The sequence below is a fragment of the Homo sapiens genome, chromosome 1 (genome assembly GCF_000001405.40).
Source record: "Homo sapiens chromosome 1, GRCh38.p14 Primary Assembly".
In the NCBI taxonomy this organism is placed as follows: domain Eukaryota; kingdom Metazoa; phylum Chordata; class Mammalia; order Primates; family Hominidae; genus Homo; species Homo sapiens.
This window is the reverse complement of record NC_000001.11, coordinates 199,939,238-199,961,949: the sequence shown is the minus strand read 5'-3', so window position 1 is coordinate 199,961,949 and position 22,712 is coordinate 199,939,238. Positions and strand designations below refer to the sequence as shown.

General features: G+C 42.3%; 1 long non-coding RNA gene and 1 other non-coding gene across 2 annotated transcripts, besides 2 other annotated features; one reads left to right on the top strand and one right to left on the bottom strand.

Moving 5' to 3' along the window:
• Nucleotides 1-239: 239 nt before the first annotated feature.
• Nucleotides 240-343, bottom strand: LOC124904853 (small nucleolar RNA U13). Its single transcript, XR_007067442.1, has one exon. It is a non-coding gene; the product is annotated as a small nucleolar RNA U13 (small nucleolar RNA).
• Nucleotides 344-2,490: 2,147 nt separating this feature from the next.
• LOC105371682 (uncharacterized) lies at nt 2,491-14,303 on the top strand. The gene is made up of 3 exons (XR_922404.1): nt 2,491-2,501; nt 2,623-2,695; nt 14,266-14,303. It is a non-coding gene; the product is annotated as an uncharacterized LOC105371682 (long non-coding RNA).
• Nucleotides 12,402-13,601: an enhancer, noted in NCBI's record as "MED14-independent group 3 enhancer chr1:199917477-199918676 (GRCh37/hg19 assembly coordinates)". NCBI's record gives its function as "activates an origin of replication core promoter dependent on BRD2, BRD4, P300/CBP and CDK7 cofactors, and independent of MED14, by STARR-seq in HCT116 cells {active_cell/tissue: HCT116}" and the evidence as "EXISTENCE:reporter gene assay evidence [ECO:0000049][PMID:35650434]".
• Nucleotides 19,704-19,773: an enhancer, noted in NCBI's record as "active region_2294". NCBI's record gives its function as "activates an Ori minimal core promoter by ATAC-STARR-seq in GM12878 lymphoblastoid cells {active_cell/tissue: GM12878}" and the evidence as "EXISTENCE:reporter gene assay evidence [ECO:0000049][PMID:35858748]".

The window sequence follows — 22,712 nt, the reverse complement described above, 5'->3', positions numbered from 1 at the left end:
AAGTAGCTGGGATTACAGGTGCCTGCCACTACGCCCAGCTAATTTTTTTATATTTTTAGTAGAGACGGGGTTTTGCCATGCTGGCCAGGCTGCTCTTGAACTGACCTCAGGTGATCCACTGGCCTCGGCCTCCCAAAGTTCTGGAATTACAGGCATGAGCCACCTTACCCGGCTGAGAATTTATTATTTATTTATCACATCAGACAGGTGTCTGATGTGATAGACACCTATCACACAGGTGTCTGATGTGATAAATAAATATGTAGACATCATAACAAGGTTTGAGGGAGGCACAGCTCACACATGTGTGTAAATAATTAACACACATAAACTACAAAAGGAAAGAAGACAAAAAATAATTATAAAAAGAAATGAACTATAAAAGGATTATTATAAATGAGAACTTAAATACTTGTTTCTGTCAATTGGTCTTTTAGTTTTTTTGAGACGGGATCTTGCTCTGTCACCCAGGCTGGAGTGCAATGGCACGAACACGGCTCACTGAAGCCTCAACCTCCTAGGCTCAAGTGATCCTTTCCACTTCAGCCTCCTGAGTAGCTGGGATTACAGTCATGCACCACCACGCCCGGCTAATTTTTAAAAAGTTTATTTGTTGAGACAGGGTCTCGCTATGTTGCCTAGGCTGTTCTTTGACTCCTGAACTCAAACATTCCTCCTGCCTCAGCCTCCCAAAGTGCTGGGATTACAGATGTGAGCCACCACACCTAGCCTGATCATTTGGCTTTTAACAATTATTATAAGAACTTTGGAATAAGCTTCGTGTAGCAAAATATGATATTTTTAATGTCCAGAGAAAACTGTGTTTTAAAATATTTATTTACTGATAACTGATATTGAGCTAAAGACCAAAGTTGGATTGATTTGAAACAAAAAGACTTCGAATATTTAGAATCCACAGAGGCCCCAGTCAGATTAAGAATGAAGATAATTAGGGCGCAGTGGCTCGTTACTGTAATCCCAGCACTTTGGGAGGCTGAGGTGGGCAGACAGCTTGAGTCCAGGAGTTCAAGACCAACCTGGGCAAAGTGGCAAAACCCTATCTCTACAAAAAGTTGCAATTAAGTGGGCTTAGTGGCACATGCCTGTAGTCCCAGCTACTTGGGAGGCTGAGGTGGGAGGATCACCTGAGCCTGGGGAGTTCGAGGCTGCAGTGAGCAGTAATCATGCCACTGAGTTTCAGCCTGGGCGACAGAGACTGTATTGTATCTGGAATTGGTGGATTCTTGGTCTCACTGACTTCAAGAATGAAGCCGCGGACCCTCGTGGTGAGTGTTACAGTTCTTAAAGGAAGCGTGTCCAGAGTTTGTTCCTTCTGATGTTCGGATGTGTTCGGAGTTTCTTCCTTCTGGTGGGTTCGTGGTCTCGCTGGCTTCAGGAGTGAAGCTGCAGACCTTCGTGGTGAGTGTTATAGCTCATAAAGGCAGTGTGGACCCAAAGAGTGAGCAGCAGCAAGATTTATTGCAAAGAGTGAAAGAACAAAGCTTCCACAGCGTGGAAGAGGACCCCAGCGGGTTCCCAAAGCTGGCTCGGGCAGCCTGCTTTTATTCTCTTATCTGCCCCCACCCACATCCTGCTGATTGATCCATTTTACAGACAGCAGAGTGGTCTGTTTTGACAGGGCACTGATTGGTGCATTTACAAGCCCTGAGCTAGACACAAAGGTTCTCCAAGTCCCCACCAGAGTAGCTAGATACAGAGTGTCGATTGGTGCATTCACAAACCCTGAGCTAGACACAGGGTGCTGATTGGTGTGTTTACAAACCTTGAGCTAGATACAGAATGCCGATTGGTGTATTTACAATCCCTTAGCTAGACATAAAGATTCTCCAAGTCCCCACCAGACTCAGGAGCCCAGCTGGCTTCACCCAGTGGTTCCCGCACTGGGGCCGCAGGTGGAGCTGCCTGCCAGTCCCGCTCCACGAGCCTGCACTCCTCAGCCCTTGGGTGGTCGATGGGACTGGGCGCCGTGAAGCAGGGGGCGGAGCTTGTCGGGGAGGCTCCGGCCGCGCAGGAGCCCATGGCGGGGTGGGGGGAGGCTCAGGCTTGGTGGGCTGCAGGTCCCGAGCCCTGCCCCGCGAGGAGGCAGCTAAGGCCCGGCAAGAAGTCGAGCACTGCAGCTGCTGGCCCAGGTGTTAAGCCCCTCACTGCCCGGGGCCGACGGCTCCGAGTTCAGGGCCTGCCGAGTCCACGCCCACTCAGAACTCGCGCTGGCCAGTAAGCGCGGCGCGCAGCTCCGGTTCCCGCCCGCGCCTCTCCCTCCACCCCTCTCCGCAAGCTGAGGGAGCCGGCTCCGGCCTTGGCCAGCCCAGAAAGGGGCTCCCACAGTGCAGCGGCGGGCTGAAGGACTTCTCAAGCGCCGCCAGAGTGGGCGCCAAGGCCGAGGAGGCGCCGAGAGCGAGCAAGGGCTGTGAGGGCTGCCAGCAAGCTGTCACCTCTATCACAAAAAAAAAAAAGAAAGAAAAAAGAAAACAAGAATAAAGGTAATTAAGACCAACTTGTGGGTTGGGTGTGGTGGCTGATGCCTATCAGCCTGGGTAACATAGGGAGACTTCTGCCTGTACTTTAAATAAACAAACAGAAACCCTTGTGTTTATCATTCAGGACTTACATGGAAAGATCCTTGAAAATCTCAAGCAACTCTTATGAAGAAACCATATTTTTCTACAGAAATTAGGTAATCTTTTTTAATGGATAGAAGTTGCCCAATATGTACCATATGTTTGACGCCATGAATGAATGGCATAGTGTAGGGAAAACAGGGCGAACAGGGATTTATGCCTTTGTGCTCTCTCTTACAGCCATTATGTTGTTCTGCATTATTTCAAGGGTTGGCAAACTTTTTCTGTAAAGGACCAGATGGTAAATACTCTGGGCTTTGTGGTCAAGGGTCTCTACTGTAACTACTCAGCTGTGTCACTGTAGTGTGAAAGCAGCCATAGGCAATATGTAAACGAATGGCATGGCTGTGTTCTAGTAAAGCTTTATTTATAAAACTGGTTGTAGTTAGCAGACCAATGGTCTGCAATATCAAAGGACATGTCATATTATACCCTTCGTATTCTGATTTCATTCTCCTAAATATTTTCTTTTACTTTCTTTCTTTTTCTTTTCTTTTTTTTTTTTTTTTTTTTTTTTTTGAGACAGTCGCCCAGGCTGGAGTGCAGGGGTGCGATCTCAGCTCACTTCAATCTCTGCCTCCCCGGTTCAAACGATTCCTGTGCTTCAGCCTCCTGAGTATCTGGGATTACAGGCACCTGCCACCATGCCCAGCTAATTTCTGTATTTTTAGTAGAGACAAGAATTCTCCATGTTGGCCAGGCTGGTGTCGAACTCCTGGCCTCAAGTGATCCGCCTGCCTCAGCCTTCCAAAGTGCTGGGATTACAGGTATGAGTCACCATGACTGGCCTCATTCTCCTATATTTTCTTTCTTTTTTGTGTCACAGGGTCTCGCTCTGTCACCCAGGCTAGAGTGTAGTGGTGGGATCTCTGCTCACTGCAACCTTTGCCTCCTGGGTTCAAGCGATCTTCTACCTTAGCCTCTCGAGTAGCTGGGATTACAGGCGTGTGCCACCATGCCCAGCTAATTTTTTGTATTTTTGTGGTAGAGATGAGGTTTTGCCACGTTGCCCAGGCTAGTCTCAAACTCCTGGCCTCAAGCAACCTGCCCGCCTCGGCCTCCCAGAATGCTGGGATTACAGGTGTGAGCCACTGCACCCAGCCAGATTCTCCTATCTTTTCATTTCCCAAATGTGTTATGCTGGTTTTGCTTTGCATGCTTCTGGAAAGTATCCCTCCACTTCTTCCTACCTGTGAACTCGTATGCATCTGCAAAAGAAACAAAAAGAAACCCCAAACAGAAACGAAACAAAACTAATCCTTACAGTGAAGCCTTCCCAGATTTACTTCCGGGAAGAATTAAGTGCTTTTTTTTTTGGCCTGCTTGTTTCTTTTCTCACAGAAACTCTATTATAGCACTTCCATTATTAGACACTTATAGTATAGCATTTTCTTCTTGGTCTTCTAATTTTTAAATGTTTGTTGTCCTTTCCTTGTCCCCTTTCCAGTGGGCAGTGAATCCCCTGAAAATAGAAAGTTTTTTGGTTCTGTTATATTTGTATTATTAGAGCTAGCACAGTGCCTGACACACAGTAGGAGTTTAATAAATGCTTACAAAGATGATGCAGAAAGCATGCTCTAGAATGAGCCTGAGAATACTAATCCCTTGAGTTATGTATACCTACCATAATATTAAATTTAATTCATTTTGAAAGTAAAGTAATAACTTTGGAGAGGTTTTTAGTTTTTATGGCATCAAATAAAGGAGTTTGACGAGGTTTTCTGTGTTCCATTCATCTACCTGTGTAGATACTAGTGTCAACCATCTAGGTAGTTTCAATTTTTTTTTTTCCCTAGACAGAGTCTTGCTCTGTCTCCCAGGCTGGAGTGTGGCGGTGCGATCTCGGCTCACTGCAACTAGGTAGGTTCTATTTTTGAGAAACCAGTAATAATATAGAGAAGAAGGAGTATTTTCTCAGTCATTTGGAACTGCTATAACAAAGTTCCATAAACTGGATGTCTTATAAACAATGGAAATTTATTTCTCACACTCTGGAGCCTGGAAGTCCCAGATCAGGATGTCAGCATGGTTGGTTGTAGACTGCTGTCTTCTCATTAAATTGTCATCTGTCAGAAAGAAAGTAAGCTTGCTGGCCACTTCTTTTAAGGGCACTAATCCCATTCATGAGGGCTCCACCCTCATGACCTGATCACCTTCTAAAGGCTCCACCTTGTCCAAACACCATCACATTGGGAATTAGGTTTCAACGTACGAATTTTTGGAGGACACAAACATTCAGTCCCTAACATATAGACAATGGCCACCTATATTTGGCCTTGTCATACAACCTGCCATAGAATGCCATTCATGACAGGTGAAATACTGCTTTATTTTGCCTGTTTTCACACTATATATAAGCAGAATCATACCATATGCGTGTTTTTTTTTTTTTTTTTTTTTAAAGACAGAGTCTGGCTCTGTTGCCCAGGCTGGAGTGATCTCAGCTCACTGCAACTTCCATCTCCCAGGTTCAAGCGATTCTCCTGCCTCAGCCTCCCAAGTAGCTGGGATTACAGGCACCTGCCACCAAACCCGTCTAATTTTTGTATTTTTAGTAGAGATCGGGTTTCACCATGTTGGCCAGGCCGGTCTCAAACTCCTGACCTTAGGTGATCCGCCTGCTTCGGCCTCCCAAAGTGCTGGGATTACAGGCATGAGCCACTGTGCCCGGCCATACAATATATATTTATTTGTGACTTTTCTCATTCAATATTATGTTATTGAGGTTTATCTATAATGAAACATGCAGCTATTTTTTACTCATTTATTGTTAGTGTTTTTTAAAACCATTGAATGGTATTCCACTTTTGGATCACACCACACCCTGAAGGATCTGGGGCATATTTAGGAGATGTAACTTTTCAGGTGGATGAGTCAGGGAGGGGGAAGCGTCTAAAGGATTTTTCTGATGATTGTGGTGCTGTTGACTGAGATCAGGAGAGGATTAGTTGTCTGGGGAGGAGGATGAATTTAGGTTAAAGAAGGAGTGGTCAGCTGACTAGGAATAGACCTTAGAATGCTGGCCTGTGTTAAAGACTCAGCTGAGATTAGGGGCCCCAGTGTGGACAGAGCTGGGACTTTCTTTGGAAGAACTGCATTTGAAAGTGTGCGGTGCAGGAGTGGGACTGGGTGCGGGTTGGAGACTTGCAGCACCCTCAGCAGGCAGGTTGATGAAGGAAGCATGGAGGGCCGAGTGTAGGTTTCTTTTTATGGACCAGGCCTGGAATTGTTTGTTGTTCATAACTTTAGTCCACATTACACTGTGAGAGCTCTGCTACATGATCTTACTGAACCACGAAGGCATCACAGCTTCATTCTCAAGTTTAGGGACATTTACGGGGGATTTACACTTCCGTAATGGCCAAGGAAAATATCCCAGCCATGAGAAAGGCTTGCTTTGGAGATCAGAATAGCTGTTTGGTTGGCTTTTTGAGTTTCCTAAAAAGAAGAAAAGATCCCCTAAGACTCTGTCAACAAATATTAATACTTGCTTATCAATTCCTTACACTGGCAGTGTGACTTAAACCTAAGTACTGTCCTCCCAGCTTCAATCCAGAGAAACGTGGGAATGCCCACTCTACCATGTTCAAACTGGAATATACATGCTGAGTCTCATTCCCATTGGGAAATATACAAAGTTACTGTGACAGGACTATATTTTGAGCAATGTTGGTGATTTTTTTTTTGGAGCACAAAGCAAGCAATAAATCTGTCACCCTGAAAAAAATCAGGTTATGACCTAACGGAAGGAGCAAATTGTGACTTTAGGTAAAAAAGAGTGACCTACCAGGGAGGGTAATTTATCATGATAACAAAATTGCTGGTGCTTTCCCGGCCCACCAGGAAGAAGGGCTGCAGTAAGCAAATTCAAGAGATGCAAGTCCGAATATTTTTAACTGATCAATATTTCCAGGGTTCACAAGCAGCCAAAACACTGTCATTGTTCAGAGTGAGTACATTGCTCACCTGATTTGTAAAAGGAAAAAAAAAAACAGAGAGCTTTAATTATTCTCTTTAAAGAAACGTCATCACTCAACAACAGACATTCTTTGTAGGATGAAAATAAACATCTCCTGGGATTTAAGTGAGAATTTTTGATTTTTTTTTTTGTAGGGAAGTAGGAGATTATGTTACTTGGAAATGCTTAAGGAAGTTGATTATTGGGGTTTAATGTGCTTCACCCACTCTTATGTTGGAACTGTTCCTCCTGGAGAGAAAACCAAGCAAATAATATAGGGAATTATTAATAAAATAATTACTTAGGCAAAACTAGGGAGACAGTAGGGCTATCTTCCATTTACCCCTTCAGATCTTTATCCTTCCTACTCCATCCAGCCTGCTCAGTGCCCCCGAGACCACTTCCCAGGACTCCCCTGTCCCCTGGCTTTTGGTTGGGTTCAGTCAATGGGCGGCCCCTGCTGGAGAGCAGAGGGAAGAGGGGTTGGGGCCTTACTCCTCCATCTCCCTCCCTGTAGAGTAGCTGCAGCAGACTTTGTCTCTCTTCTGAAGGTTACAGTTCCTGTAGCGTGATCTTTTCTGCACAGTCTTTTCTCTCTCTGGATTCCAGTAACATTTCCCTTCCCTTGACCCTTTAGTGCTAGAGGTGGTAGATGTGCCACACTGTTACTACCTCAGGATACTGTACCGGCATGCTGCGTTGTCTGCTTAATCCTTGACTGACCCACAACTTGAGTTGCACTTTTTTTTTTTTTCTTTTTGAGATGGTGTCTCGCTTTGTCGTCCAGGGTGGAGTGCAGTGGCGTGATCTCGGCTCACTGCAACCTCTGCCTCCCGGGTTCAAGCGATTCTTCTGCCTCAGCTTTCTGAGTAGCTGGGACTACAGGCGCACGTCACCATGCGCAGATATTTTTTATATTTTTGGTAGAGGCGGGGTTTCACTGTATTGGCCAGGCTGGTCTCAAACTCCTGACCTTGTGATCCACTCACCTTGGCCTCCCAAAGTGCTGGGATTACAGGCGTGAGCCACCGCGCCCGGCTTGAGTAGCACTTTCTATAGACCTCAACATCATCATGGCCTTTCAGGGATTCTGAGTAACTAGGATGCTTCAATGGGCTTTCCTCTCCTTAAACAGTCATGGCAAATGATGGTCAGCCATCACATGAAAAATATAACGTTTATGTTATGTAGCTATACCTCTATTGGCTCCTCAATATTGATAGCCACATGGTACACTCAAGCTTTGGATTATTATAAAACTATAATTTTTATCTGTAGATTTAGCTGACAAGTACAAACGTGATAAACCCTATCCAGTTTTATGTCATCGTTGCTTCCTAATAAAGTTGAAGGCTAGGTAAAGCACTCAGTTTCTGGGCATTAATGCCATTATCTCTCTCAGCCACCATTGCCGTATGGCTCTACTTATTTTCACTTCAACAGCCTACACATTCAGCCTTCCTCCCAACAAACTTGGCAGGCTCATCCTATTTCTCAGAAGAGATTTAATAGCAGTGAGTTCACGTACTACGAAGACTTCATTACTTTTATTAGCTCTCCATGCTCTCTGCTTACTGGTGCACTGAGAGGTATTACTGAATAATCTATAGTTGTCAGTAATATAAATGTGCCCTAGCCTAGTACAGCTTTAATTCTACTTATTTTATTTTCTTATTAGGACATTTTGGAAGGATTTAGATAGATTTCCTTGTGTAGAGGAATTTGCTGCAGAGTAATGTTAGTTGATGTCTAACTTATGAATAAAGCAGGAACACCTAATTTTCATATGCCTGGGCACCTGATGGAATGCATTTATAATGTCAAGTAGCATGCTGATTCCTGTTGTGTTTCAGCTATGGCAAACTTTTAGAAAGAAAAGACATTATTTGCTACTCCTTTTGGTTATATTCTTGACCTTAAACAAGTTACATTCTTCATGCATCTATTTTCTCACCTATAATGTGTGTATATGTTTAATTGTATCCTGAATATCTTTCTACAAGATACTATAACCAAAACTACTGAATAGTATTTTGTAAAATATTTGGTTGCCTATTATCTGTATATTAATTGAATCATACTATTATAATAGACGTGTATAAGTACTAAAAGAACATGGAAGAGGTGACATAGATTGGAAGTAACTGAACGTAGAATGTATTTGATTTATTTGATTAAAACAAATACTGATAAAGCAGAACACCCAACATCAATTGCACATAACCTTTCATTTCTTTTCTTTTTCTTTTTTTTTTAGAGGCAGGGTATCACTTATGTTGCCCAGGCTGGTCTCAAACTCCTGGCCTCAAGTGATCCTCCCACCTTGGACTCCCAAAGTGCTGGGATTACAAGTGTGAGCTGCCTTGCCCAACCCACATAATCTTCCAATAGCCTTAGCCTTTAGTATTACTTGAATAAAGCAGAAAAGAAAGGAAATGAATATTTGTGTCAGGTACTGAACTAAGCACTTTACAAACATTGTATCATTTTGATATTTAAATTTACTTTCAATTTTTATTTCTTAACAAACCCTGATGATGAAGCCTAACATCATTCATTTAGGTATTAAACAAATCTCTCACATATTTTAAACAGAGTAGTGTGTGTGTGTATATATATATATATATATTTGATATATATGTATTTGATATATATATTTGATATATATATACATATACGATATATATATGATATATATAGTAGAGGCATATATATATTTATATATAAGTATAAATATATATATATGTGTGTGTATATATATATATATTTGAGACAGAATCTCACTCTGTTGCCCAGGCTGTAGTACAGTGGCACAGTCATGGCTCACTGCAGCCTCCACTGCCTGGGCTCAAGTGATCCTCCCATCTCAGCCTCCTGAGTTTAAGATAAAACTCATAAGCCACTCTCACATTCTGGCACAGTAGATAATTACCTTCCCTCCTTCACTCCCTAATCTTTTTTTTTTTAGACAAAGTCTCGCTCTGTCACCCAGGCTAGAGTGCAGTGGCATGATCTCGTGCTCACTGCAACCTCCACCTCCCCGGTTCAAGTGATTCCCCTGCCTCAGCCTCTCAAGTAGCTGGGATTATAGGTGGCCACCACTATGCCCGGCTAATTTTGTGTTTTTAGTAGAGATGGGGTTTCACCATGTTGGCCAGGCGGGTGATGAACTCCTGACTTCAGGTGATCCACCCACCTTGTCCTCCCAAAGTGCTGAGATTATAGGCATGAGCCACCATGCCTGGTCATTCACTCCCTAATCCTAACAAGCTCCAGTGTGTTTATCATTAAATTATCTCTCCATGGGGCGTGGTGGCTCATGCCTGTAATCCTAACACTTTGGGAGGCCGTGAGGGGGTAGATCGCTTGAGACCAGGAGTTTGAGACCAGCCTAAGCAACCCAGTGAGACCCCCATCTGTACAAAAAATAAAAATAAAAAAGTGTCTCCTCTTGAATCTATTCACTTGTCAATATCTTCACTAGCACCACACTAGACCAAATTCCTAGTGCTCTTGCCTGCACTGAGACAGAAACTCACTGCAGATGCTTGAGTCAGTCAGAAAGGTTTTACAAAATTCAGATCTGATCATATCAGCCAGCAAATCAAAGTCCTTCAAGTACCTTTCTTCTTTTTTTTTTTTTTGAGTCAGGGTTTGTCTTTGTTACCCAGGCTGGAGTCCAGTGGTGTGATCTCGGCTCACTGCAGCCTCCACCTCTCAGGCTCAAGCCATCCTCCCACCTCAGCCTCCCAAGTAGATGGTGCTACAGGTGCTCACCACCATGCCTCTCTAATTTCTGTATTTTTTGGTAGTGTCAGGGTTTTGCCATGTTGCCCAGGCTGATCTTGAACTCTTGGGCTCAAGCGATACTACTGCCTTGGCCTCCCAAAGTGCTGGAATTACTGGCGTGAGCCACTGCACCTGGCCAGGCTTGTGACTTCTGACCCCTGTTTTCCTCTTCAGCCAGTCTCATATTTGTTTTCAGCGCTTTTGTGATTTTGGCCTTATTTCAGTCCCTCAAATATATCAAACTCCCTCCTACCATTGGGCTTTTGCACATGTAGTTTCCTCTTACTGGAATGCTCTCCTGTATTTAGTCACTTGCTATATTCCAGCCTTTTTTTTTTTTTTTTGAGACGGAGTCTCTCTGTGTCACCCAGGTTGGAGGGCAGCCCAGGCTGGAGGGCAGTGGTGCGATCTTGACTCACTGCAACCTCCGCCTCCTTGGTTCAAGAGATTCTCCTGCCTCAGCCTCTTGAGTAGCTAGGATTACAGGAGCGCACCACCATGTCCGGCTAATTTTGTATTTTTAGTAGAGATGGGGTTTTACCATGCTGGCCAGGCTGGTCTCCTGACCTCAAGTAATCCACTCACCTCAGCCTCCTGAAGTGCTGGGATTACTGGCATGAGCCACGGCTCCTGTTTTTGCTTTCTATTTTACCTTCAGATACACGGTTGTGGCATGCAGAAGCTCAATAAATATTTGCTATGAATATATATGTGTGTATATATATATATATATATATATATACCCACACACATATATATACATATATACATACACACATACACACACACACACACACACACACACACACACACACACACACACACATATATGTAGGTAATAGCTATTACCAAATTCCTTTTTTTTTTTTTTTTTTGTGATGGTGTCTTGCTCTGTCACCCAGGCTGGAGTGCATTGGTGCCATCTTGGCTCACTGCAACCTCTGCCTCCCAGGTTCAAGTGATTCTCCTGCCTCAGCCTCCCAAGTAGCTAAGACCACCACCAGCTAATTTTGTATTTTTAGTAGAGATGGGGTTTCACCATGTTGGCCAGGCTGGTCTCGAACTCCTGACCTCAGGGGGTCCACTCACCTTGACCTCCCAAAGTGCTGGGATTACAGGTGTGAGCCACTGCGCCTGGTCCCAAATTTAATTTTTTTGTTTGCCTTTTAATTTTGTAGCAAAATATAAAAATGTTGTGCCAAAATTAAAATTTTGTTTGCCCTTTAATATGCACTGATATTTAAACATTTTACATAGTTAAATCTATCAATCATTCCATTATGGCTTCTTTTATTGGCATCATGCTTCAAAAGCCCTCTGTCACTTGAAGAAAATATAAATTTTTATGTATTTTTAATGATATAGCTCTTTCTTTGGAAAATATTAAATTTTTAACTATCTGGAATGGATTTGAGGGCAAGATGACAGGTAGTGAAGCTTTTGTTCTCCATATAGTAGCCACTTGTCCCAAAATACTTTATTATTTTATTGAATGCTCCATCATTCCTCCAAAGACTTAAAATGCCCCTTGTTTAAAAAATATTTTTTGGGGGGGGTCTCTCATTGTTCTGAGCCTCACCCCCAGTCTCTGTACAGGGGAGCTGTTTTCTTTCTTCTTTATATATATATATATAGATATATATATATTTTTTTTTTTTCTGAGACAGGGTCTTGCTCTGTCATCCACGCTGGAGTACAGTGGCATAAACACTGCAAGGAGCTCAAGTGATCCTTCATGTCAGCCTCCTGAGATGATGGACTATAGGCACATGCCACCGTACCCAGCTAATTTTTTCATTTTTTGTAGAGATGGGATCTTCCTATGTTGCCAGGCTGGTCTTGAACTTGGAGCCTCAAGGGATCCTCCTACTTTGGCCTCCCAATGTAAGCCACCACATCCAGCCACAGATTTTTTTAAAATTTAATTTTCTTTTATTTATCTGTCATTGTGGTGATGCATCATTTTAATAATGGTGGCTTTATAAAGCATTTTAATGTATGATTATATCAGTTATCTCTGGCTATAATTATGCTTCATAACAACCACCCAAAATGCAATAGCTAACAGGGTTCCAGGAGATAGTTAAAATCTAATGCTGTAAGGCATTTATTATATATAATGAATTAACTATGTACTATCTTGGGAGAATTGAGAAAATAGACACAAATGATTTTTCTATAGGAATTATTTTCCTCATGGAAACCACACTAAGGAAGTATGGCTTAAAACAAACATTTATTTAGCTCATGAATCTGTAGTTGTGATTTAAGCTGAGTACTTTTTATAGTTTTAGCTGCACTCATTTTCATGTCTGGTGGTCTGCTGGCTGTGGGCTGGGGTGATGTGTGCGACTGGGTCCTATATGTTTCATCCTTTAGTGGGCTAGCCCAGACATGTTCACACAGTGAAGTGCAGAAGGCAAAACAGGAAGCAAATGCACAAGCACTTTGTGAAGCCTCTGCTTGCAGCAAGTTTTCTAATGTCTCATTGGTCAAAACAAATCACATGGCTAACTTCAGCCCTGAGGGCCTGAGAAATATACTCCACCTTCTCATGGAAGGAGCTGTGGAGTCATATTGCAGAAAAGGTGAATGCAGGGTGGATTAGAGAATTGGGGCCATGGTAGTCTTCCATTATTTTTCTTTAAAATTCTTTACTGGCTCGTTCCGCAAACTTGTTCTATTTTAGAATTACTTTGTCAAGACAAAAAATCCCCATTGGTTTTGCATGAAGAGAAAATGTAAGTCAGCCCCTTCCATGTCCCTGCAAAGGACATGATCTCACTGCTTTTTATGGCTGTATAGTATTCCATGGTGTATATATACACATTTTCTTTATTCAGTCTATTATTGATGGGCGTTTAGGTTGATTCCATGTCTTTGCTATTGTGAATAGTGCTGCAATGAACTTATGTGTGCATGTGTCTTTTTTTTTTTTTTTTTTTTTTTGAGATGGCATCTCGCTCTGTCACCAAGGCTGGAGTGCAGTGACGCAATCTCGGCTCACTACAACCTCCACCTCCTGGTTCAAGTGATTCTCCTGCCTCAGCCTTCTGAGTAGCTGGGACTACAGGCATGTGCCACCACGCTTGGGTAATTTTTTGTATTTTTAGTAGAGACAGGGTTTCACCGGGTTAGCCAAGATGGTCTGGATCTCCTGACCTCATGATCTGCCTGCTTTGGCCTCCCAAAGTGTTGGGATTACAGGCATGAGCCACCGTGCCTGACCTGCATGTGTCTTTATAATAGATGATTTATATTCCTTTGGGTGTATACTCAGTAATGGGATTGCTGTGTCGAATGGTATTTCTGTCTCTAGGTCTTTGAGGAATTGCCACACTGTCTTCCACAAGGGTTGAACTAATACTCCCACCAACAGTGCAAAAGTGTTCCCTTTTCTCCACAACTTCACCAGTATCTATTATTTTTTGATCTTTTAATAACAGACCATTATCCTTAGCAAACTAATGCAGGAACAGAAAACCAAATACCGCATGTTCTCATTTATAAGTGGAAGCTAAATTATGGGAACACATGGACACATCGAGGGGAACAACACATGCGGGGGCTTACCGGAGGGTGCAAAGTAGGAGGAGGGAGAGGATCAGGGAAAATAACTAATGGATACTAGGCTTAATACCTGAGTGATGAAATAATTTGTACAACAAAACCTTATGACGCATGCTTACTTGTGTAACAAACAAACCTGTACATCCTGCACATGTACCCATGAACTTAAAATAAATTTTTTTAAAAGAAAATGTAAGTCAGATGCCCAGCTAGGTGCTTTTACATATTCATTTCATTTAATCTTTCAGCAAATGAAAGTAGCTGTCATCATTCACACTTTTTTTCTTTTTTTTTTTTTTTTTGAGACAGAGTCTTGTGCTTGTTGCCAGGCTGGAGTACAGTGGTGCGATCTCGGCTCACTGCAACCTCTGCCTCCTGGGTTCCAGTGATTCTCCTGCTTCAGCCACCCAAGTAGCTGGGACTACAGGTGCGTGCTGCCACATCTGGCTAATTTTTGTATTTTTTAGTAGAGACAGGGTTTCACCATATTGACCAGGTTGGTCTCGAACTCCTGACCTCGTGATCCACCTGCCTCGGCCTCCCTCCCAAAGTGCTGGGATTACAGGTGTGAGCCACTGCGCCGGGCCTCATCACCCACATTTTATAGGTAAGGAAATTGAGGTCCAGATAGATTAAATAACTGTTTATCAGATAACAAGGTAAAGAATCTGGACTCAAACTTATTTCTTGCTTCATTTTATACTTCTCCTTCCACTGTTCCCTGACTGCTTCCTCTGATGATTGCTGAGAGGATCAAGCCATGATAATGGCCACGAATGAACCTGGAAGACTAATGTTAGCTGCTACCCAGTGATTTTGAAGTTCCCTAAATATCCATGTTTCTGTAAATAGAGCTCATGAAGGTTTTAATTTGTAGAAGAATCTCTGTATATCCTTCCTGTTTTATCCACAGTTTGGCGTAGATAACATAATTAACATGATTGACTGAAGGAGATTAAATAATCACAAGAGAAGCATAGTTGAGGTTTATTTTGGAGGCACTAACTTTTACAGCTCTATTGTGTTATAATCCATTCAATTTTCTGGTAATTTAGAAGAACAGCTATTTATAAGGGGATTAGCTATGTCTTCAGGCTGCCAAAACATTCCTTTGGGAGGCTTTGATTGGGGTTCAGAAATGACGTAAAAGAGGTGAGGCCTGACTCCCTGAGCTGCTGGGAGTGACGGCACGGGTAATATCAGATGCTGTCTCATATTAAAAGAAAAACCTCAGACAAATTAAATTTAACAGTATAATTGAGCAAAGAGCATGTCATGGATCAGGCAGCCTCCCGGACCAGAGTAGGCTCAGAGAGACTCCAGCATAGCCATGTGGTAGAAGATGATGTATAGACAGAGAAAGAAAAGTGACATACAGAAAACAGAAGTGAGGTACACAAACAGCTGAATTGGTTACAGCTCAGCATTTGCCTGGTTTGAAGAGTTGGCTGCCTTTGGCCAAAACTTGGTGATTGGCACAAGAGTAGGTTGCAGTCTGTTTACACATCTAGTTAGGTTACAGTTCACGCTAATGGAGACCTCTTTAGGCTGAACTTAAAATATGTGAGGAGGCAGCTTTAGGTTAAACTTGATTGAATGCTCATTTTATTTTATTCTTTTGGCAAACTATGCTCAATAGGTAAATTCCTCTATAGGGTGCCAGTCATTTTAAAAGTGAAACGTTTTGACTGAAACATTTGATTAAATGTTTTGATTAACAAAGTGTTCGTTGCTAGTATTTCCAGGAGCAAGCAGCAGTAGAAACATTAGCAACACAATTTCCTGAAGTTAAACTTATTTTGCTGTGGATACACTTATTTTGAGATGGGGTCTTGCTATCTTGCCCAGGGTAGACTGGAACTCTTGGGCTCAAATGATCATCCCGCCTCAGCCTTTCAGTAATAGGGATTACAGGCTCGTTGCCACCCCACTCAGCTTAGCTGTGGATATTTTCAATGAGAGCCAAACCAATTTGTGTGTGAAAACCTAGTCATACAGCCAGGTGTCTTAGAGCTTTGGGTGGGCCCATCAATCTAAATTATAAGTTGGCCCCACATGGAAATGGTTGGAGGTGGGAAGGGAAAGGTGAATTCTTAGAGCCCTGGTCCCTGGAACTCCCTGGTGCTGAAGCCCCATGGGTTTGCACTGGGTAATTTACACCACTTTGTGACTCGTGAACACATTAATTATGCAACAGTTTGTTAGTTTCCTTAATCATCATGGGATTTCCCATGCCACAACCCTGAAAATAGTATGGTGTATACTTTAAGCTTGCTGTAGGTGAAAAATGCAACTCAGTCACTTTGTCTTCTGTGCTTAGATGGCAGGACTTTCTGAAGCAATACATAGAAACTTAATAATGTCCATCAACAGCATATTAGAGAATAAATTTTATGTAAGAATAGTGCTGAACATTTAGAGAAAGGAGACTGTCAGAATTTGTCTATTCAGTGTGAATTTGAGGGTAGTTGTAAGGTTTAGAGGTAATATATGTTAAAGTGTCTGGTCCTCAGTAGGCACTTTACACATATTAGCTATGATGATCACAGAGGTGGAGCTGTCTGTGCTGACATTATCTGAATGGAAGGTTGATGGTTGAAATCAGTGACATGCAAAGCTCATTGGAATTTCCTTAGGAGCTCTCTAAAGTTTACATTTCCAGGTTCCAGCGCTGGAGATTCTTATTCTTATTTAATGGAATTTTAAAAATAATGCCCTGCAGCTGATTCTGATGGCCAGCTAGATTTAGAAGATCCTAGATGAGGGGATTTCTAAATTCTCTTTCAACTGTACCATCCAGAGGTTGGAATATTGAGGAAGTTTTTTTGTGATCCTCATTGCTCAAGCTCATGCAAATTCAAAGTCAACTCATCTTATTGTGCTTCCTCTCAAGGTATGAGAATCTGTAAATGGGTTGGAAACATTAACGGGATACTAAATCTGATAAAGCATTTTCTCCACACGGATACAGAGCACCTCACACCAGATGTGCAGGTTTTTTCCCCACACCAACCAATTCTCCAACACCATCTGAGTGTCCTACAATTCAGTTTAATTCTGTCACTATGTACCTGAAGTTAGCTTTAGATGTCACAAGTGAATAGGCTCAGTTCCACAAGACTGCCCCTACTCAGAGCCATTTGCAAGTCTAGGCCTCCCGTGTTTCGGACTGACCTGTTACAAATTGGGGATTCTTTTCTTTTCTTTTCTTTTCTTTTTTTTTTTTTTTTGAGACAGAGTCTCACTCTGTCGCTCAGGCTGGAGTGAAGTGGCTCAATCTCAGCTCACTGCAACCTCTGCCTCCCAGGTTCAAGCGATTCTTGTACCTCAGCCTCCTGAATAGCTGGGATTACAGGCGCCTGCCACTATGCCCAGCTAATTTCTGTATTTTTAGTAGAGACCAGGTTTCACCATATTGGCCAGGCTGGTCTCAAACTCCTGACCTCAGGTAATCCGCCCCTCTTGTCCTCCCAAAGTGCTGGGATTACAGGCGTGAGCCACCGTGCCCGGCCTATAAACTGGAGATTCTTATGCCCTTCTTTCAGTTTGATAATTTGCTTGAACAACTCAGAACTTAGAGAAACACTTTACTTACATTTACCAGTTTATTATAAAGGATAAAGATGAATAGCCAGACAAAGAGGTTAACAGGGCAAGGTTTGGAAAGATCCTAAGTGCAGAATCTTCTGTTCCCTGGGAGTTGGGGTGTACCACTCTCCCAGCACATGAATGTGCTTACCAACCTGGAAGCTCATCAAATCTCATTTTTACTTTTTTTAAAAAACTTTTTTTTTTTTTTTTACCTTTTTTTTGGGGGATGGGTTGGACAGAGTCTTGCTCTGTTGCCCTGGCTGGAGTGCAGTGGCACCATCATAGCTCACTGCGGCCTTGAACTCCTGGACTTAAGGGGTCCTCCCACTTCAGTCTCTCGAGTAGCCGGGACTACAGGTGTGCACCACCACATCCGGCTAATTAAATTTTTTTTTTTTTTGTAGAGACAAGCGTCTTGCTTTGTTGTCCAGATTGGTCTTGAACTCTTAACCTCAAGTGATCTTATCTCCTTGGCCTCCCAGAGTGTTGGGATTACAAGAAATAGCCACTGCACCTGGCCCAAATCTCATTTTTAAAGCGTTTTTAGAGAGTTTAATCTTCAGCTCCCTCCATCCCTACGTTTCCTTAGAGGTCAGTGGGTGAGACTGAAAGTTCTACCCCATAATCACTGGGTCTTTCTGGTGACTGACCCCATCCTGAGGCTATTTAGGGGCCCCATCCTAAGTCACATTAGCATAAACTTTGGTAAGATCAAATGGGACTCCTTACAAATAACAGAACGTGCTCCTATCACTCAGCAAATGCCAAGGATTTTAGGTGCTGTATGCCAGAAACTGGGGACAAAAACTAAATATATTTCTTATTAAACCATGCTGAAGAAACTGAACATTCCTTTTTTTTCTCTTAAACCAGAATGAAAATAGAAATCTGTCTTTAGGCTGGGCATGGTGGCTCATGCCTGTAATCCTAGTACTTTGGGAGGCCAAGGCGGGTGAATTGCTTGAGGTCAGGAGTTCAAGACCAGCCTGGCCAACATGGTAAAACCCTGTCTCTACTAAAAATTCAAAAATTAGCTGGGCATAGTGGTGTGCATCTGTGGTCCCAGCTACTCAGGAGGCTGAGGCAAGAGAATCGCTTGAACCCAGGAGGCAGAGGGTGCAGTGAGCACCGAGATCGTGCCACTGCACTCCAGCCTGGGCAAGAGAGTAAGACTCCGTCTAAAAAAAAAAATTTAGACTGGTCGTTTGCAGGTGTCTGTGATCTGTGATATTGTTCAGTCTAGTTATTCTCAGTGCAAATCGTCTAATAGGCCTCAGCTATTCACCCATAGCCATTCCAATGCTTTAGAGAATCCAAGACCTGTGAAGTCTGTAGGCAGGCCTCAGCACCTAGCCCCTGGTCCGGATCCTCATGTGCTCATTCTCAACCTTATCTTATGGTATGAACAGGAATAAGATATTGCAAAGTATCTTCTGTCACATTTTCCTGATGCCATATACGATAGTTTGTGCTCATATGTGGAGAACATTCCCAAATATGTACCCCTTGCCATCCAAGGCATTTTTCTCCTAGACAAGAAATCTTATCAGAATACAAGTGATTGAGAATAATTCATTAATGCACACATATATACAATTGTTATATATATGAATGTGTGTGCATTGATATATCCACTTACAAAAATTAAACAATTATTTGCAAATGCTTGCTTGACACATCTTCTAAATGAAAGAAATGCACTTTTGTGTCCAGATATCATGGTTGAGTGTTGTCAACGTAGAGAATTCTTTTTTTCTTTTTTCTTTTGAGATGGAGTTTTGCTCTTGTTTCCCAGGCTGGAGTGCAATGACATGATCTCGGCTCACTGCAACCTCTGCCTCCTTTGTTCAAGCGATTCTCCTGCCTCAGCCTCCTGAGTAGCTAGCTGGGATTACAGGCGCCGGCCACCATGTCCAGCTAATTTTTTGTATTTTAGTAGAGATGGAGTTTCACCATGTTGGCCAGGCTGGTCTCGAACTCCTGACCTCGGGTGATCCACCTGCCTTGGCCTCCCAAAGTGCTGGGATTACAGGCATGAGCCACTGCACTCGGCCAATGTAGAGATTTCTGATGCTCAAGAAAGGTACACATTGTAATTCAGTTATCACACTGCAGCTGCTGAAAGTGAAACCATAGGGGTCTTCTTTACTCTCAGATGAGGTGTTGCCTGTCTTCGGTTTGACTTTGGGTTGATGCTGTGGGCAGCCTCTTGCTGGCACATTTCTCTTATCCCATCAAAAATAAGAGAGGGTTGTGAGAGACTTGTGGTTTTTGAGGAAGTTGGGATCTTTGGCACATAATAATTTTGGAATCATAAACTTTTCTCATTGTACATTTGCCAGGAACTTGAACTGAATTGAACTTGGAACTCAAACCTGGGCCTGGCTAACCAGCTTTAATTTCTGAAACAATAAATTGGTTAACCACAAACCAATGAAGAAATGTTTCACTTTAAACCTACTCAACCTATTCAAACCCAAACCAGTCTTAAGTATTCTGTAAAACCACAGAACCATAACATCAAAATGTTTTCAAATCAAACCTAAACTGAAGTGAAATTTGGTTTGAGGTGCTGACATCATATGTCATAGTTGACATACTTTTATAACATTCTGCATGCTTAGTATTGATGATAGTTTGATATACAGTTGACCCTTTGTATCTGAGGATTGAAAATATTAAAAAAAGAAATAAAAATTGCAATACAATAAAAAATACAAATAAAAACAATGTAGCGTAACAACTATTTACATAGCATTTACATCACATTTGGTATTATAAGTAACCTAGAGATGATTGAAAGTGCACCCGAGAATGTATATAGGTTATATGCAAATACTGTACCATTTCATGTAAGAGACTTGAGCATCAGAGGATTTTGCTATTGTGGTTTTCACCAGTCCCCCATGGATACCCAGGGATGATTGTATAATAGAATTTTGTATTTGAAGATCTTAGAAGTATTGGCAATGTTTCATAGACCGGAGTCACTGAGGGTTTACTGAAGGTGAAATAGTGAGTCAGAGGAAAACGTGGGTAGGGGCTGGACAATTGCTTTAGGTGTTTGTTACATTGGTAATTGAGCCAACTTGCCAGCAGTTGTGTGAAGTTTCTTTCCTTCCCTTCCTTTCTCTCTCTCTGTCTCTCTCTCTCTCTCTCCTTCCCTCTCCTCTCTCTCTCTCATTCTCTTCTTCTTTTCTTTTCTTTCTTTCTTTCTTTCTTTCTTTCTTTCTTTCTTTCTTTCTTTCTTTCTTTCTCTCTCTCTCTCTCTCTCTCTTTCTTTTTCTTTCTCTCTCTCTCTTTCTTTTCTTGTCTAACTCTGTCATCCAGGTTGGAGTGCAGTGGAGCAATCTGAGCTCACTGCAACCTCCACCTCCTGGGTTCAACCGATTCTTCTGCCTCAGCCTCCTGAGTAGCTGGGATTGCAGGCACCTGCCACCATGCCCAGCTATTTTTTTGTATTTTTAGTAGAGATGGGGTTTCACCATGTTGGCCAGGTTGGTCTTGAACTCCTGATCTCAAGTGATCTGCCTTGGCGTCTCAAAGAGCTGGGATTACAGGCATGAGGCACCGCACTCAGCCTTAAGTGAAGTTTCTTCTGCGGTATTCATAAAGAAAGAAACAAACAGTACATCCATCATCTTGCTCGTATACTACCTGTTACCTTGTACTACTAAGTGTTAAGATAATTTAAGTTTACTAATGTATATGATTCTTTGTAACTTAGTTTTTGCTTGTTTGTTTGTTTTTTGAGACCAGTTTCCCTCTGTCTCCCAGGCTGGAGTGCAGTGGCACAATCTTGATCTCGGTTCACTGTAGCCACCACCTCCTGGGTTCAAACAATTCTGCCTCAGCCTCCCGAGTAGCTGGGATTACAGGTGTGCACCACCATGCCTGGCTAATTTTTGTATTTTTAGTAGAGATGGGGTTTTGCCATGTTGGCCAGGCTGGTCTAGAACTCCTTACCTCAAGCGATCCGCCCTCCTCGCCCTCCCAAAGTGCTGGGATTACAGGCATGAGCCACTTCGCTTTGCCTGGCCAGTTTTTTTATTTTTTTATTTTTAAATTACAGTTATGTTTAAATAACTGCACAATGGCTGGAGGACCCAAAGCTCCACTTCAGTCAGGTGCTTAGAAGATGAGGGATTCCAGTGCATTTACTTGGTTCCTCTGGTGTGATTCTTTTGGGTGTGCATGCATGTGTTTTGAACTCTTTCAAGACTTTAGGATACCAGTTGGTCAATTAGGACTTCTGTAACTTAAAAGGATTTATGTCTTTTTTAAATTATGAAATATCTTAAATATTCAGATAAGTATAGAGCACAATATAACAAGTACTCATGTACTTACTCATCACTTAAGTCAAATCAACATTTTGCTTTATTTTCTTCAAATCTTCTCCTCTTTCTTCATATTTCTCATCTTCTCTTTTAATTTTTTCCCAACCATCTGCTGCCTGTTGCATCTTCCCTTTCTCTTCTTTCTCTTTTTCTTCATTCTTTTTCTTTACCTTAAGGAGTAAAACATTATTAGTATAGTGGAAGGCCCTGTGTGCCTCTCCTAAATCACATTCTCTTCTCTTCTTAGAGGTAAAGTCTCCAAATTTACTATTATTCATTCCCATGAATGTTTTCAAGCTTTATATAATTGAAATTATACTGTACCAGTTTCTGTATTTCTCTATTTTATATTTTATTTATTTATTTATTGAGAGAGAGTCTCGCTCTGTCGCCCAGGCTGGAGTGCAGTGGCACGATCTCAGCTCACTGCAACCTCTGCCTCCAGGGTTCAAGCAATTCTCCTGCCTTTGCCTCCTGAGTAGTTGGGACTACAGGCATGCGCCACCACGCCTGGCTAATTTTTGTATTTTTAGTAGAGATGGATTTGACCATGTTGGCCAGACTGCTCTCGAACCCCTGACCTCAGGTAATCCGCTTGCCTCGGCCTCCTAAAGTGCTGGGATTATAGGCATGAGCCACTGTCCCCAGCTTCTCTATTTTATACAAGTGCAATTATACTGTACACATTATATTGCTGTCTTTCATGTTTTTAAGATTATTCTATGTGTATACAATTGCATGATATAATTTATTTTTAACTATTATGCCTCACTCTTCTTTAGTGATCACTTCTTTGTTTCATGGTCGTTTAGATTTTTTTTTCAC